General features: G+C 37.2%; 1 protein-coding gene across 17 annotated transcripts in view; it reads right to left on the reverse strand.

Moving 5' to 3' along the window:
• Positions 1-16058, reverse strand: part of LRRC4C (leucine rich repeat containing 4C) — a 1345454-nt gene that overhangs the window by 1319436 nt on the left and 9960 nt on the right. The gene's annotated exons all lie outside the window — the stretch shown is intronic.

Raw genomic sequence — 16058 nt, forward strand, 5'->3', positions numbered from 1 at the left:
CAGCTTATATCTTTCTCCCGTGCTAGATGTTTCCTGCCCTCAAACATCGGACTCGTTCTTCAGCTTTGGGACTCGGACTGGCTTCCTTGCTCCTCAGCTTGCAGACGGCCTATTGTGGGACCTTGTGATCCTGTGAGTTAATACTTATTAATAAACTCCCATATATATGTGTGTGTGTGTGTGTGTGTATACATATATATGCGTATATATATAATATATATCTTATTAATTCTGTCCCTCTAGAGCACTCTAATACAGTTATTGTTCTCTTTTTTAAAAGTTGCTCCCACTAACCCATAATTTTACATTTATGATAGCTTTCTCAGTCTAAAGGCAAACCCGATTCAAGCATGATTCCAATTATAGAACTTACTAAATATTGTCAGATGGAGGGATCTTTAACATAGTTTTCCTGCATTCAAGTCCACTTCCATCAGAATCAGTTAGACCTAGTTACCCAAGTCATGGTCCATAGATATTCAGCAGTGGCAACCATCACCTGAGATCTTCCTAGAAATGCACATCTTCAGACCCCTCCACAGATTCCCAATTTATTTGTAAACACATTAAAAATTTGGAAAGCACTGCCACATCCTTTGGTTTCCTCTCACTCTGAAACCTGCAAAGTCCTCATACTTGGTGGGGTCAAGGGAAGAAAAAGACATCTGGGAATCTCTTTTTTTAATAGACTTTTCAGATAATTTTTTTTTTAAGAAAGCAAAAAAATTTGAAAATTGTATTCAATACCTTCTATTTGCTTATCTGGGACAACCTCAGACTTTGATGATGTATGGTCAAAATCTTTGGTCAAGTCACTTTGCTTCCATAAGCCTCATTTTTGTATCTGCGAAATAATCTTCACAGGTTGTTTAAGCCCCCATAATACAACATACAGGGAAGGACGTACATCCCATGATACAAAATACAGGGAAGGACTTCGTGCACATCAAAGTCTGCAAATAGAAGAATTCACTACTATTCCGATGTGCCTAAGGATACTCCTACCATCTATGTCCTGAAGTTTTCACACTACAAAGACTAGCAAGAAGTGCACCTTTCTCTTAGAGTGTCAGTTTCGGTAAGCAAGACTTCCTGCTTGGGAAGTCCACAGGGATTTTCTCCCATCAATATTAAGAGGAGGATGTGGGGCAGCTTGAAGTCTGCAGATCTGTTCAGCTGTGGCTCAGTGAGCAGCTGGTAATACAGCATTTATATCATGCTGGCTCAGCTAAGAATACTCTTTCTATTCTTGCCTGCTTTTTGTTTTATTTTGTTTTCAGGCTGAGGTGTGAGGGAAAGGAGCAGTATCTGGATGCATTTTACAGTTAAGGATGTAGTTATCTTGCATTTTATAAGCCAGGGACTACTTTCAGCCAACCTCAGCAATAAAGAGAATGGCCCCATTTGTCAGGGAAGCAACCAACATCTGAAAGACTGAGTGAGAATTAAAAGTCCACAAGGTCCTTACTCCTGGATTTTTACATAGATAGGATATTGATGCTTCCTTTTATTACAATCACAATCACTAAGAGTAATACAGAGCTGCAGGATTGAAGATAATGAAATAAATCTAAGATGATATTATTGCATACCATATGATGTATGTGCAAGAGAGCATTCATGTTAGAACAATATTAGAATGTGATTCCAGTAATATTTTGTGGAGATACAACTACTGTTATTACGGAAAACATCAGTACAGATGAAAAATAATTGATAGATACAAATCAGGAATGCAATCCTCTTGTGCTTTGACAAAAATTATTAGACCCTAGAAGGTCTCATAATCTATTACTAAAGAGAACCCGTTGATCAATACCGATACAATAAGATGTTGGTTTCTCAATGTGAATTTACTAATTTAATAATGGTTAACATTTATTAAGTACCTACTAAGGAACAAGCATTCCACTATGTGCTTTACACACATAATTTAAAATGACTTGTTACCAAAAGCTTATATGTTCCTCGGAAACTTATGTCATAAGAAAATAAATTATCTTCACATGCTCACATGAGAATCGCATGGTTATTTGTCAATAAATATTTTTCCATTCATAGTACAATTATTATGTAGGTCATCATTTCCCAAGTGGGTTTCATATAGCACTATTAATTTGCAAAGTGTTAACAGATGTTCCATAAAAATAGTGTTCTATATTCAAGTACATTTAGAAAACATTGAATTGAATACAATTAAACATGATTATTTAACACAAGACTTCTTGAATTCTTCAAATAATAATTTTTACATATCTCTGTAAAAGGAAAATAGCCTAAACATTTCCCGGCCGGGAGTGGTGGCTCACACCTATAATTCCAGCACTTTGGGTGGCTGAGGTGGGCAGATCATGAGGTCAGGAGTTCGAGACCAGCCTGGCCAATATGGTGAAACCTTGTCTGTACTAAAAATATAAAAATTAGCTGGGTGTGGTGATGGACGCCTGTAATCCCAGCTACTGGGAAGGCTGAGGCAGGAGAATGGCTTGAACCCAGGAGGTGGAGGTTGCAGTGAGCTGAGATCGTGCCACTGCACTTCAGGCTGGGTGACAAAGCAAGACTGTCTCCGAAAAAAACATTTCCCAAATATAGAAGACCCAGGAACAGTTTTTTCACTGAATACATAGTAATTAGTAATACTTTGCTTTTTGAATATATATTAGATGTATTTCATGACAATTCTGTTAAGATAAACATACACCCTTTAAAAGAAGAGTGGCAGGACCATGTTATTTCTCAAGATATTTTGATAATACATTTAATATCCCTAGTTTTCCTGTTGTTTGACAGGCATTCAGTACAAAACTGGAATTTCTGTCAAGACTAAGGAGGACCAGGGAAGAAAACTGATTTCAAAGAGGCTACACAAATTCTTGACCTGTCAAAGTCCCACAGTGGCAATAATGTCTATGAAATTAGTTAGCAAAACCAGAGAACCTTTTATAGAAATGACTGACCAGCCTCCACTGTCTGATAATGTACAGAAATCTTACATGTGGCATAATCATCACAGAGAGCCTCTTTCACAACATTCACTTCTACTTCTGAAAGCATGTCCAGTTGAATTCAGGTTATACAATGCCACTTCTCTAAATCATTTTGCCTTGCAGACCACAACACAGCATCAAATGACCTATACCAACGTTTCTCAAAAGCTGAATGGAAAACTCTTCTCATCTTTCAAGAGTCCCTAAAACTAGTACTTTTAACATCCTGAAATGAGATTTCAATGCCCTACATTTAAGAAGGGGAAAGAAACAATCACCAATATTTTTCCTACAATGGGTTTTGATTTGATAATCCAATAAACGTGATAAATCTCAAACTCTGATAAAGGAACAGATGAAAAAACCATGTGACCTGCAAACTTTTTGTTAGTATCTCCATTCTGCCCTAAAATACTCAATACTTTTCAATCTTACCAAAGAAAATTACTGTTACTAAATGTAACATAACACCAAATACAAGCCCTAGCTGTGCTTCTAGAAACAGGTATCATTAGAGATTAGATTTTATTGGACCTGACAATGAACTCTTATCTTCCCCACCCTACTTCAGCTTCCTGAATTGATTCACCTCTGAAAATACAGTACAAATATTCAAAGGTCAACCATTGCTGACAAGAATGGTGTCAACGTAGTTAGTTGTACAGTCTAGTCTCTCTGAAATCTTGCTATCATTTACCTTTTCCAATATTATCTCCAAACTTTCACTGCCTTCTTTTCCAACCACAAAACCTCTCTCTTGCTCATTAAGACACACACGCACACACACAAACGCGCGCGCGCGCGCACACACACACACACACACACCAGTTGCAGGAACATTCCTCTAAACCAAGGATTTAATGTGGATTTAGTGCTTCAAAGATAGGAACAGTTCATGTCTTCACAGAACCTTCAAGCTTTTTTGTACACTCATCCCCAGGCTTTTGTTGATTTTTCTAACCCTTGTTTTCCAAAATGCTTCTGCCCCATTCCAATGTCTTTGTATTTGTTAAGATTTTCCTTATTCACTCATTACATCTTTGTTCCTTCTGTTTTTGTTAACTATAAAAATCTCCTGACTTTTTTGCGCTAAAGAGTATGTTGGACCTGGGGGCAAAAGATAATTACAATATGGGCTGGGTGCCCTGGCTTACGCCTGTAATCCCAGCACTTTGGAAAGATGAGGCAGATGGGTCATCTGAGGTCAGGAGTTTGAGACCAGCCTGGCTAACATGGTGAAACCCCGTCTCTACTAAAAATACAAAAATTAGCTGGGCGTGGTTGTGGGCACCTGTAATTCCAGCCATGTGGGAGGCTGAGGAAGGAGAATAACTTGAACCTGTGAGCTGGAAGCTGCAGTGAGCTGAGATCACACTGTCACACTCCAGCCTGGGCGACAAGAACAAAACTCCATCTCAAATAAATAAATAAATAAATAAATAAATAAATAATAAAAAAAAATAATTACAATATGGTACCTGTCTGTCTTGGAGGAGTTTACAGCACTGGGGAAATGGATGAAGAAAAAAAGAGACCAACAATTTTTATGCAAATAACATGTGGCAGACACTGTACTTGTTGCCTAGATTTGTTTTATTGTGTGGTCTTCATATCAACATTATTTATTAAACAGGTATCTATAGTAAATCTATTATTGTTCAGGAACTGACTAGACACTAGATGAAAAAGATCTCGGCTCTTAAAAGTCTTACATTCTAATGATGTAGACTTACCAAATACAAGACAATTAACAAATATAATAATACAAATTTTCAAAAATAATCCAACAAAAAGCTGAGATGGAAGAAAACACTGAGATGGTGACCTTGTAGAAAGTCCTAGTTCAGTTAGTATGAGCAGAGAAAGCATCTCTGAAAGAGTAAAAGGAAATTGGGATATAAACGATGAGAAAGAAATTGCAATGAAAACAGTATCAGGGTATACTATCCCTGGAGCCCCTCTCAGAATATTGATGCTGAAGCACTGTGAATAAAGAGAGAATGACATGAGATGGAGTAAAACAAGTAAATGTCAAACCAATTAGCATACCACTGAAGGTCTTAATTTTGGCTCCACGTCAGCTTTTCCAATCTTATCACCAACCTTTAATAATTCACTTTTTAGACACAGAAATACTTTTTCTCATTATTTCTTCATTCATTCATTTAATATATATTGAATGAACACCTGAGGATCACAAGTAAGGAAACCGATTTGATTCTAAATGCAAAATATGCATTAGATAAATTGGTAGGTGTTTTTAAATTTTTTTTTGTTTTAGCAACTGATTCATTTGTTTTTATTTTTGTAGATTTGGGGAATATGAGTGCCATTTTGTTACATGGATATATTGTGTAGTGGTGAAGTCTGTAATCATAACCTGAATAGTGTACATTGTACCCAACAGATAATTTTTCATCCCTTAAATTCCTCTGACTGTCCTCCCTTTTGGAGTCTCCAATGTCTATTATGCCACTCTGTATATCTATGAGTATCCATTGTTTAGCTCCCCCTTGTAAATTCCTGATTCATTTCACGTAGGATAATGGTCTCCAACTGCATCCATGTTGCTGCAAATAACATGATTTTATTCTTTCTTATGGCTGAGTAGTATTCCATGGTATATATATACCAAATTTTCTTTCTCCTACCACCCATTGATGGACATTTAGGTTGATTCCATTACTTTATTATTGTGAATAATGCTGCAATATACATACAATTGCAGATATCTTATATAAGGATTTGTTTTCCTTTGGGTAGATATTTAATAGTGGACTTGCTGGATCAAATGGTAGTTCTATTTTTAGCTCTTTGAGAAATCTCCATACTGTTTTTCACAGAGGTTGTACTAATTTACATTCCCACCAATTTGTATAAGCATTCCTTTCTTTCCACATCCTTGCAAACATCCAATTTTTTTTATTTTTTAATAATAAGCATTCTGACTAGTGGAAGATGGTATTTCATTGTGGTATTTATTTTCATTTTTATTACAATAACTAATTTGCATTGATGTTGAGCATTTTTTCATATGTCTGTTAGCAGCTTGTATGTCTTTTAAAAAACATCTGTTCATGTTTTTGCCCACTTTGTGGCAACTCATGGAAGACAACACAGAGATGGTGGCTGTGTGGAAAGTCCCAGTTTAGTTAGTATGGGTGCAGAAAGCATCTCTGAAAGGAATAGGGTTTTGATGGCTTTGATGGGTTTTGTTTTGATGAGGTTTTTTTAAATTGTTAAATTGTTTGAGTTCCTTGTAGATTCTAGATATTAGTCCTCTGTTGGATGCATAGTTTGCAAATACTTCTCTCATTCAGTAAGTTGTATGTTTACTCTGTTATTTCTTTTCCTGTGCAAATTTTTAGTTTAAGTCAAATTTGTCTAGTTTTATTTTTGTGGCCTTTGTTTTTGCAGCCTTAGTCGTAAATTCTTTGCCTAGGCCAATGTCCAGAAGAGTTCTTGTTTGTTTGTTTGTTTGTTTTCAGTTTTTTTTAGGTTTTCTTTTAAGAATTTTGTAGTTTCAGGTCTTATATTTGAGACTTTAATTCATATTGAGATAATTTTTGTATATGGTGAGAGACATGGGTCCAGTTTCATTTTTTTGCATATAGCTATCTATGATTAATATTTTTGGAAAAAAGGAGTTTGTCTGTCCACTCTAGAGAGAATAGGTTAGAAGAAAACTAGAGTGAAAGGGGGAGAAAAATTACTGACATGGCATAATCTAATGATGATGGTGAATTGGGGCCAGTTACAATTTAAAAAGAAACAGATTCCAGATATATTTTATAGGTTTTATCTATGGTCTCCTTTTAATTTTTACTTTTTAATTTTCTCAGCATCAAGAGAACTATGTAAGCTTTTTTAAAAAAAGCACAAATCAAATGACAGTTACGAGGAGAGTAACACACTACATATGTTTTTTTTAAAAAAAAGTATAGTCTAATAAAACAGTCTCCAGCTTAAAGATTCCATCTATTGGACTGATATGGTTTGGTTCTATGTCCCCACCGAAATCTCATCTCAAATTGTAATCCCCATGTGTCACGGGAGGGACCTGGTGGGAGGTGACTGGATCATAGGGGCGGATTTCCCCCTTGCTGTTCTCATGACAGTGAGTGAGTTCTCACGAGATCTGGTAGTTTGATAAGTGTCCAGAGCTCCCTCCTTCTTGCTCTCTATCTCCTGCCACCATGTAAAATTGTCCTTGCTTCCCTTTTGCCTTCTACCATAACTGTACTTTTCCTGAGGCCTCTGCAGCTATGTGGAACTGTGAATCAATCAAACTTCTTTTCTTTATAAATTACCCAATCCCAGGTAGTATCTTTATAGCAGTACTAGAGAACTCAATTACTATAATAATGCTGAGATAATAAGTGAGTCATGAAGAGCCAAGCCAGTCTTCTCAAGGGTAGAGAGAGGGAAGAGACAACACTCTCTTTCTTCTGTTTTTAAGGACTATTTAATATGCATGACTAAAGAAATGCAACACTGGAGCTGCATAGAAATTTAGACCTATATCAGCTGTATTTGTTTTTGCCAGGACTATAACTGAATATGCTAAGGGAATCTGAATGTCTTAAGCAGAGTCAAGAATCCAGAATGAGGAACTGAGGCTCACCCTCACTTCCCCTCCTAGCGTTTATTTTTTGTGTGTGTGTTGGTGTGACAGACAAAGGTGGAAGGTAGAGGCAAAATGGAAGTAGAAAAGCAGAATCATTAGCAGTCAGGGTGGCTGAGATAGGAACAATAGGGACTTCCTCTGGATATGAGGCATATGGAGATCTTCCAGGATCCCATGCCATGGTTTATCATGGTGGGCTAGAGGGTTTATCAGCCACCCCAAAGTTACTTTCAACGCTCTTTTTTTTTTTTCCACATCTCATATGTTTTCTCAGCCTCCATTTTAAGTAGAGATACCCAAATTGACTCAATCTTCATTCAGAGACTTAAGCTGGGGGCCTCTGAGAAAATTTATTTTTTTCCAGTTAAAAAAAAAAAAAAAAGATAGATGTAACTGGCATGTCTCTTCCTTCTATTTCATTCCTTCTGCCTTGAATGTAGAGAAGATGGCAAGAACTTCAGCAATTATCTGGCAACAAAGAAATAAAGGCCAACAGGGCTCCCACCCTTGACACTGTTAAGTCACAGAACTATGACCTACAATTTCTGGACTTACTGTTAAATGAGAAAAATGAACTCCAATTCATTTAGGTTTCTTGAGTCAAATTACTATTACTTATAGCCAAGAGTTATATTAACTGGTCCAAACATCTTCTGCCCTCAGAAATAAAACATAAATTTAGGAAGGTTTAAAAAAATTATAATAATGCAATCATCATTAGTATTTCAGTATATTACTATTCAGTCTTCAAATTTACATATGCATTAATATTTTCTTTATATAGTTGTCATTATACAAAACCTTCCAGGTCATAAATTTTTGAAGCTGCCTTATAATTATGCATAATTAATTTATTCATATGTTTCTTTTGTTTGACATGTAGGCTGATGCCATTTTTTACCTTTATAAATAATTTTATTAGCATATTTGTGCATACTGCATTTTTCATATTTCCTTAGGATAAATTTCTAGAACAGGATCCAAGTAAATAAAAAATTCTATGACCCATAATACAAAGTCAAACTGCTTTCTAAAAAAGTGTTATTCCAATATACATTGCTACCAAAAACATATAAACATATCATTTATCAACATATCTTTTCCTACATTAAGTATTAATATGAAAAAATAATGGCAAATTTCAACAAATAGGAACATTTAAAAATGATTTTAATTCAAGACACAGTTCTCTCTCTTTGTTGCTTTTTTCTTTTTTTTTTTTTTTTTTTTTTTTTTTTTGAGACAGAGTCTTGCTCTGTCGCCCAGGCTGGAGTGCAGTGGCACAATCTCGGCTCACTGCAAGCTCCGCCTCCTGGGTTCACGCCATTCTCCTGCCTCAGCCTCCCGAGTAGCTGGGACTACAGGCGCCCATCACCACGCCCAGCTAATTTTTTGTATTTTTAGTAGAGACGGGGTTTCACTGTGTTAGCCAGGATGGTCTCGATCTCCTGACCTCGTGATCCGCCCGCCTTTGCCTCCCAAAGTGCTGGGATTACAGGCGTGAGCCACCGCGCCCGGCCTGTTGCTTCTTTCTTGCTATAAAAACAGCCATTAGATTTTTATACTGTATAATCTGACATAGTTCATCTGTATAATCTGAAATAGTTCATCTATCTTCAAATTTCTGCCCAACAATTACAATGACTTATGTATGCAGAATGTTCTGCATTGCAGAAAATGCTTTTGAGGCATGTATGATTCTCATTTAACAAAGGAAAAAGCTGATTTCAGAAAGCATAAGGGTATTGCTATGAAATGGTAGAGCTTATACTTTTGATTTCTAGTCCAAGACCCCTTCTAGTTATTTATTTATTTATTTATTTATTTTTATGTTTGCTTCATTTTTTTTTTTTTTTTTTTTGCTTCAACATAGGTGCAAATCCAACCTCATCATATTAACACTGACTTGAAAGACAAATCCCAAAAAGAATTAACGAAGGCTTAGAAGAAACAAATTAGCGGAAGGAAACAAATTTTGTACAGGCACAGTGGCTCACACCTGTAATCACAGCAGTTTGGCAGGTTAAGGCAAGAGGATCACTTGAGCTCAGGAGTTAGAGACAAGCCTGGGCAACGCAGCGCAACCCCATTTCTACTGAAATCCAAAAAATTTAGCTGGGCCTGGTGGTGCATGCCTGTAGCCCCAGCTACTTGGGGAGATGAGGCAGGAGGATCCCTTGAGCCTGGGAAGTTGTGGCTACAGTGAGCCCTCATCATGCCACTGCACTCTATCCTGGGCAAGAGAGCAAGACTTTCTCTCAAAAAGTAAAATAAAATAAGGAAACAAATTTAATAAAGGGAGTCTCTCTCTCCTTTTTCTTTTTTCTTTCTTTCTTTTTCTTTTCTTTTCTCTCTTTCTTTTCTTCTTCTTCTTCTCCTTTTTTTCTTCTGAGTTTCACTCTTGTCACCCAGGCTGGAGTGCAATGGTGCAATCTCAGCTCACTGCAACATCCGCCTACCAGGTTCATGTGATTGTCCTGCCTCAGCCTCCTGAGTAGCTGGGATTACAGGTGCCCACCACCACACCTAGCTATTTTTTTTTTTTTTTTTTTTTAGCAGAGATGGGGTTTCACCATGTTGGCCAGGCTGGTCTCGAATTCCTGACCTCAGGTGATCACACCGCCTCAGCCTCCCAAAGTACTGGGATTACAGGTGCGAGCCACTGCGCCCAGCCGGGAGCCTCAATTTCATATTACCTTTTCCTCTGTTCCCTGAGTATGTATTTTGGGCACATGTGGCACTATGTGAAACATCACAGAAGAGCTAAGAGTAGCCTCAGAGCAGTCTGATATTAGTGGAACACAGGTAAATTCCACAGATGCGAAGGAATTTCCGAACCTCTAATGCTTTGAAATATTTATAAAAACAGACAAGCCAGTAGCTATAAAACATGGTGGTTTGAAGAGAAAAAAAGTAATAATAATGAGTACAGTTGGCTCTCTGTATGTGTGGGTTCTGAACCAGTGGATTCAGCCAACCACAGATGGAAAATATTTTAAAAATATGCACAGTTGTGTCTATACTGAATTCATACAGACTTCTTTTCTTGTCAGTATTCCCTAAATAATACAGTATAACAACTAACTACATAGCATTTCTGTTGTATTACAATTTATAAATAATCTTGAGATGATTTAAGTGTATGGAAGGATGTGTATATGTTGTATGAACATACTAAATCATTTTATATAAGGAACGTGAGCATCCATGGATTTTTGTATTCACGGGTGGGTGCTAGAACCAATCCCTCATGGATACCAAGGGACGACTATTAGCTTGTATGTGGTGGCTCCTTCATCATCCAGTAGAGTAATCATTGAACCACAGTAGACAAAGATGTGTCTTGCAAGCTTCTAGGTGACAGATCTCAATGAGCGTTTAATAGTTGGTCTGCATGAACTGAAGTGTTTATGCAAAAAGTCATTGGCTACATAATAAGCTTGAGTACAAAATTGGGTAGGGAAATGAGATTTTAGAAGATACAATGATTAAGTATAGAAAAGTGGAGAGAAAATAAGATTGAGTCATATTAGTATCAGGACAGGAAGTCTAACTTAATTTTTTTTTTTTTTGAGATGGAATTTCGCTCTTGTTGCCCAGGCTGGAGTGCAATAGCATGATCTCAGCTCACTGCAACCTCCACCTCCCGGGTTCAAGTGATTCTCCTGCCTCAGCCTCCCGAATAGCTAGGATCACAGGCATGCATCACCACGCCCGGCTAATTTTGTATTTTTAGTAGAGACAGGGTTTCTTCATGTTGGCCAGGCTGGTCTCCAACTCCCAACCTCAGGTGATCCGCCTGCCTTGGCCTCCCAAACTGCTGGGATTACAGGCATGAGCCACCACGCCCGACATCTAACTTAATTTCTATTCTTTTCCCCTTAGCTCCGGCAGTAAACTGTACCTCAAAACTAGAAGAAAGGAAGATTTAACATGCAACCTTCGCTTCACCATCTCTCTTCCTTCCCATGTTCCAGAAGATTCTGCATAATGAAAACACTGTAATCTCTCAAGAAATATCTCATAAAGAGTGCATGAGAAAATCCCTTCTCCCCAGAGCTTATTTCTCTCGCATTTTAATTCTGAATGAAGGGATCATAAAAGCATATCAAGATCCATGTTGCCCCACAAAGGACATTCTGAGGCAACCTGAATGCCCCCCCACCCACGTGAGATAGCAAGTGATTTTTAAGGGATGGAGTAGGCTATAAAAGGGAGTCACTGGGAGACAAAAGGAGTAAATGGAAGAGGGAAAGGAAAGGAGAAGAAGAAGGCACTGAGGCTGGCGTCACAGTCTTGTATGGAGGCAGAGTGAATGGTGCAATGAAAAGTTCCCAGAAGGGTAAATCAGAGGACCCATATTTAAATCTTGAATTCCCTACCTATTGGTTGCATAATGTTGAATCCATCACTTAATCTTTTAATCTTCAGCCTTCCCATCTGTAATACGTGAACAATAATTACACCTTTCTTAAAGAGTTACTGGAGGAATTAAATATAAATGTGTGAATAAAACATACAAATTATTTTATAACAAAAAAAGAACTTTTTTTCTTTCTTCAAATGAAGATCCAAGCAGGAAGAGGGAATCCACAGTGTGTATGAATGAGTGACTGCATGTGTGTGTGTGTGTGTGTGTGTGTACGTGTTATGTAAAACTTACTGCCATAGATGTTTGGGGAAAATGTGTTTCCTTTTTATGTTGAAGCTGTTAATCATTTAGATGACATTACTTATAAAATTCAGTGTCAGACACATAGTAGGTTCTACACATTTATTTGTTGAATAAAAAAATGACTCAATAATAACGTTAAAACAAGTGAAAGTGAATGAAGGTCAAGCTCCCAATTAGCAAAGTCTAGACATTTAATAAAAGCTGCTCTGCAGTTGCAAAGATATCCATTCACTCTACCAGGTTACTCTTTTTCAAGAAAACACAGTAGACAACAACTTGAAACTCACAGATCTATTCCTGCCCCAGCTTAAATTCTAGGAAATGAGTAATGCTTGTGTAATATATAAGCCTGTTCGAGTTAACTATTCTCTGTAATAAACCACCTCAATACGGAGAGACTTAAAACAAAAGTTATGCATATCTAACCATCCTCTGCATTGGATGGGTGATTGCTCTGCTTGTTTTTCCTTTACTCACTCATGCACCTGCATTCAGCTAGAGAACAGGCTGGGCTGGAAGGCCCAAGTTAGCCTCACTGGCAGCTTGTGCTGGCTGTTAGTGACATGCAATGAAGGGGACTGAGAGAGTTGTGGGTCAGTTTTCCTATATGTGACTTCCACTAGGCTGGATGGGTTTTCTTTCTCAGTGGTCCCAGGGCAGTTCTCCAATGGAGGAATATGGAAGCTACAAGGCTTTATAAGGCCTATCCTTGTAGGTTATGTAATGTTATTTCTTCCACATTCCATCAAAGTAAGCCACAAAGTCAGATTCTAGGGGTAAAGGAACAGAATCCACACTTTCATGGGGTGTCATATTGCAAAAGAATGCACATACCAGGATATGTGGAATTTGTGGCCTTATTTTTCTATTTATCTCAGAGAATTGAGGCCACATGTGGCCCCTTTCCTTACCAAGGAGACTGTGGTTCATTGTTGCTAGACCATGTGCACCAAAAGACCATCTGTTTTAAGTTTAACAAGTAAAGTCCTTACAGAGTAAAGAGCAAAGGAGTTCTGAAATCACAAAACTAAAGCAAAAATGATGTCATATTGAACATCTGATCAAAACACAGTAATCAGGAGAAATAGAGAAAAGGAAGCAGACAGAGTAGGCCATCGTTTTAATTATGCAGAAGATCTGGGCTTGGAAGACACATTTTTAGCATAAAGCATGCTATGAATGTGACCATATGTCTGGTAGAGTATAAGCTCCTTTAAAACAGGACTGCATCTTCTCACGTCCCAGCTCTAACAATTATTAGCTGTATTATCTTTGCAAGTTACTTAAGCTCTCCTAAGCCTCATTTTCCTCATCTGTAAACTAGACATAATAATATTACCTGCATATGTTTATACTAAGAATTAAATAAGATTTATGTTCATCCTCATCACGGGCATAGAATCAATACATGAAATATGTAACTAAGAAATTTCCCAGTTTCCAATTACAAATTGTACTAAACTCTATTTTGAAGCTATTAAAACCCCATGAAAAATAATCCAATCTTAATTATTTAAAAACACTATGATATCTTAAGTTCTAAAGGGTGAGAATTTAGAATCCCATGGAAGTTGGTGGATACTTTGCCTTTCATTTTTGTCCCCAAAGTAAGTTCATTGAGATAATTTGATCAGCAAGTGTCCTACCTTCTGAGAATATGTGAAGAACAACTTAGTAGGTAAAAGTACCGTAACTGACAAGATTCCAAGGTCGTAATACCCATTAATGTGCTTACAATGGTAAGACAACCCTGAAAGTATATAATACAATTTAACTAAATATAGCACCACAATCTACGACACAAAAATGTTCCAACATTCACTCAAATCCTGATTCAGTTAAAACATAAAATAGTTACAATGAACTGCCATTCATTCTTCTATCCTGTAAGAAACAGAAGAAAAAAAATCCACACAAATATATTGTACAAATACTTGTGTGTTTGATAATAATCTTAGCAGCCTCACCTTTGTAGAGGTACATTTGTGGGTGTTTGTTTATATGGTATGTTTTTAACATCTTTAAGGGTTGCTTACAATTTTATATCAGCTTGGCTTAATAGTCTTTTTCCTTTATGTTGCCCCTTCACTAATTGGGCAAATGTGATAATTTGTAATGGGTCTCCAACTCATTAGTGTAATTTAGTAAGGTTCTACTGTATTTCACCAGACACACAAACGAGGCTGCTGCACACGTCTGTTTTTTTTTTTTTTTTTTTTGGAGCTTTACTTCATCAGTGTCCACAGTATTTCTGCTTTAAAATTGAGAAATGATTACCCCTTAATCAGCTATTTGTTACAGTGGGCTACAGAAATATATGTGGTGTCATTAATAAATAATTTCAGGATAGAACTTAGCAACAATTAACATTTACATAGAGCTTTTTTTTTTTTTTTTTTTGAGATGGAGTTTCACTCTGCTGCCCAGGCTGGAGTGTAATGGTATAATCTCTGCTCACTGTAACCTCCACCTCCCAGGTTCAAGCAGTTCTCCTGCCTCAGCCTCCTGAGTAGCCGGGATTACAGGCACCTGCCACCATGCCTGGCTAATTTTTGTAGTTTTGGTAGAGATGGGGTTTCACCATGTTTGCCAAGCTGGTCTCTAACTCCTGACCTCAGGTGATCCATGTGCCTCCGCCTCCCAAAGTGCTGTGATTACAGGCATGAGCCACTGCGCCCAGCTACATAGAGCTTTAAACTTTAAATCTTATTCTTATACATGCAAACACAGAAACCCTATGTATTCTCTTGTGAAGAAAGGTATTATACATATTTTTAAATGACTTAGAAGACAACATTTCACAGTATTTCTAAATATAGATATTTGATTTGTCCTGACATTTGCTATATAATTTTGGCCATTTATTTAACCATCTTTAAAATTTGTATAATACCTACTTCATAGTTGTTTTGGAGAAAAGATCAAATATTTTTATAATAAATGTAAACTTTTAAACACATAGTAAGTGCTGAATACAAGCTAGTTGTTATCATGATCTTGATTTGACAGATAAGAATATTGTACTTTTTAAAAGATACTTACATCTAATGACAGAGAAATGAGATAGTTGTCAAATATATAACCAGAGTTTGCAGATTGGGAAGATTTGAGTTAATTATGCAAAGGTAGTCTCTATTCTTCACTTCTAGCAAGGAAGCTGTGGAGTAGGGTAGCCAATATTGCAAGGCTGGAGCTAGCAGAAGCATTGCCTCTAATTTGAAGCCCTAGGCTACTTAAAACCGTGTAAGTGTACAGAACAGAGGCTAGAGCAAAGGATGTAGATTTGAAAAGGTTTGAAGACATCGTCAAAACAGAAAGTGGGCCTGGGGGCTTAGGCAGATGTTGGAAAAGTTGGAGCTAAATATGAAGTTGAAGTAAAAACCCAGGAAGAAGGAAGCAAGAAACCAAGAAACTCTAGCAGGCCATCAGGCGAGAGAATAATCTGAATAAATGTCAAAGATAGGAGGTGTTGCCTAATACTAGCTTGATTTTGTATCTTCTGTGGCTTCCACTGGGTAAGAAGGGTAGGAAAAAAGATGACATAAGGAGCAAAAAAAAATGTCCCTATATTCTGGCCCTGAAAATCACTAACTACTGTGAGGGGTGAGTAAAATAGATAGAAAGGCAGGTTTTTCTGGAACCATACCCAGGCCCAGACAGGAGAGCAAATTAGCTGTTTCTCTGTTTCTCAACCTCCTATCTCTGCTCTCATCAGGGAAGAAGATCAAGGTGTTATTCAAACAGGCACCTGGTAAGTGACTCTCTACTG

The sequence above is a fragment of the Homo sapiens genome, chromosome 11, assembly GCF_000001405.40.
Source record: "Homo sapiens chromosome 11, GRCh38.p14 Primary Assembly".
Classification (NCBI taxonomy): Eukaryota; Metazoa; Chordata; class Mammalia; order Primates; family Hominidae; genus Homo; species Homo sapiens.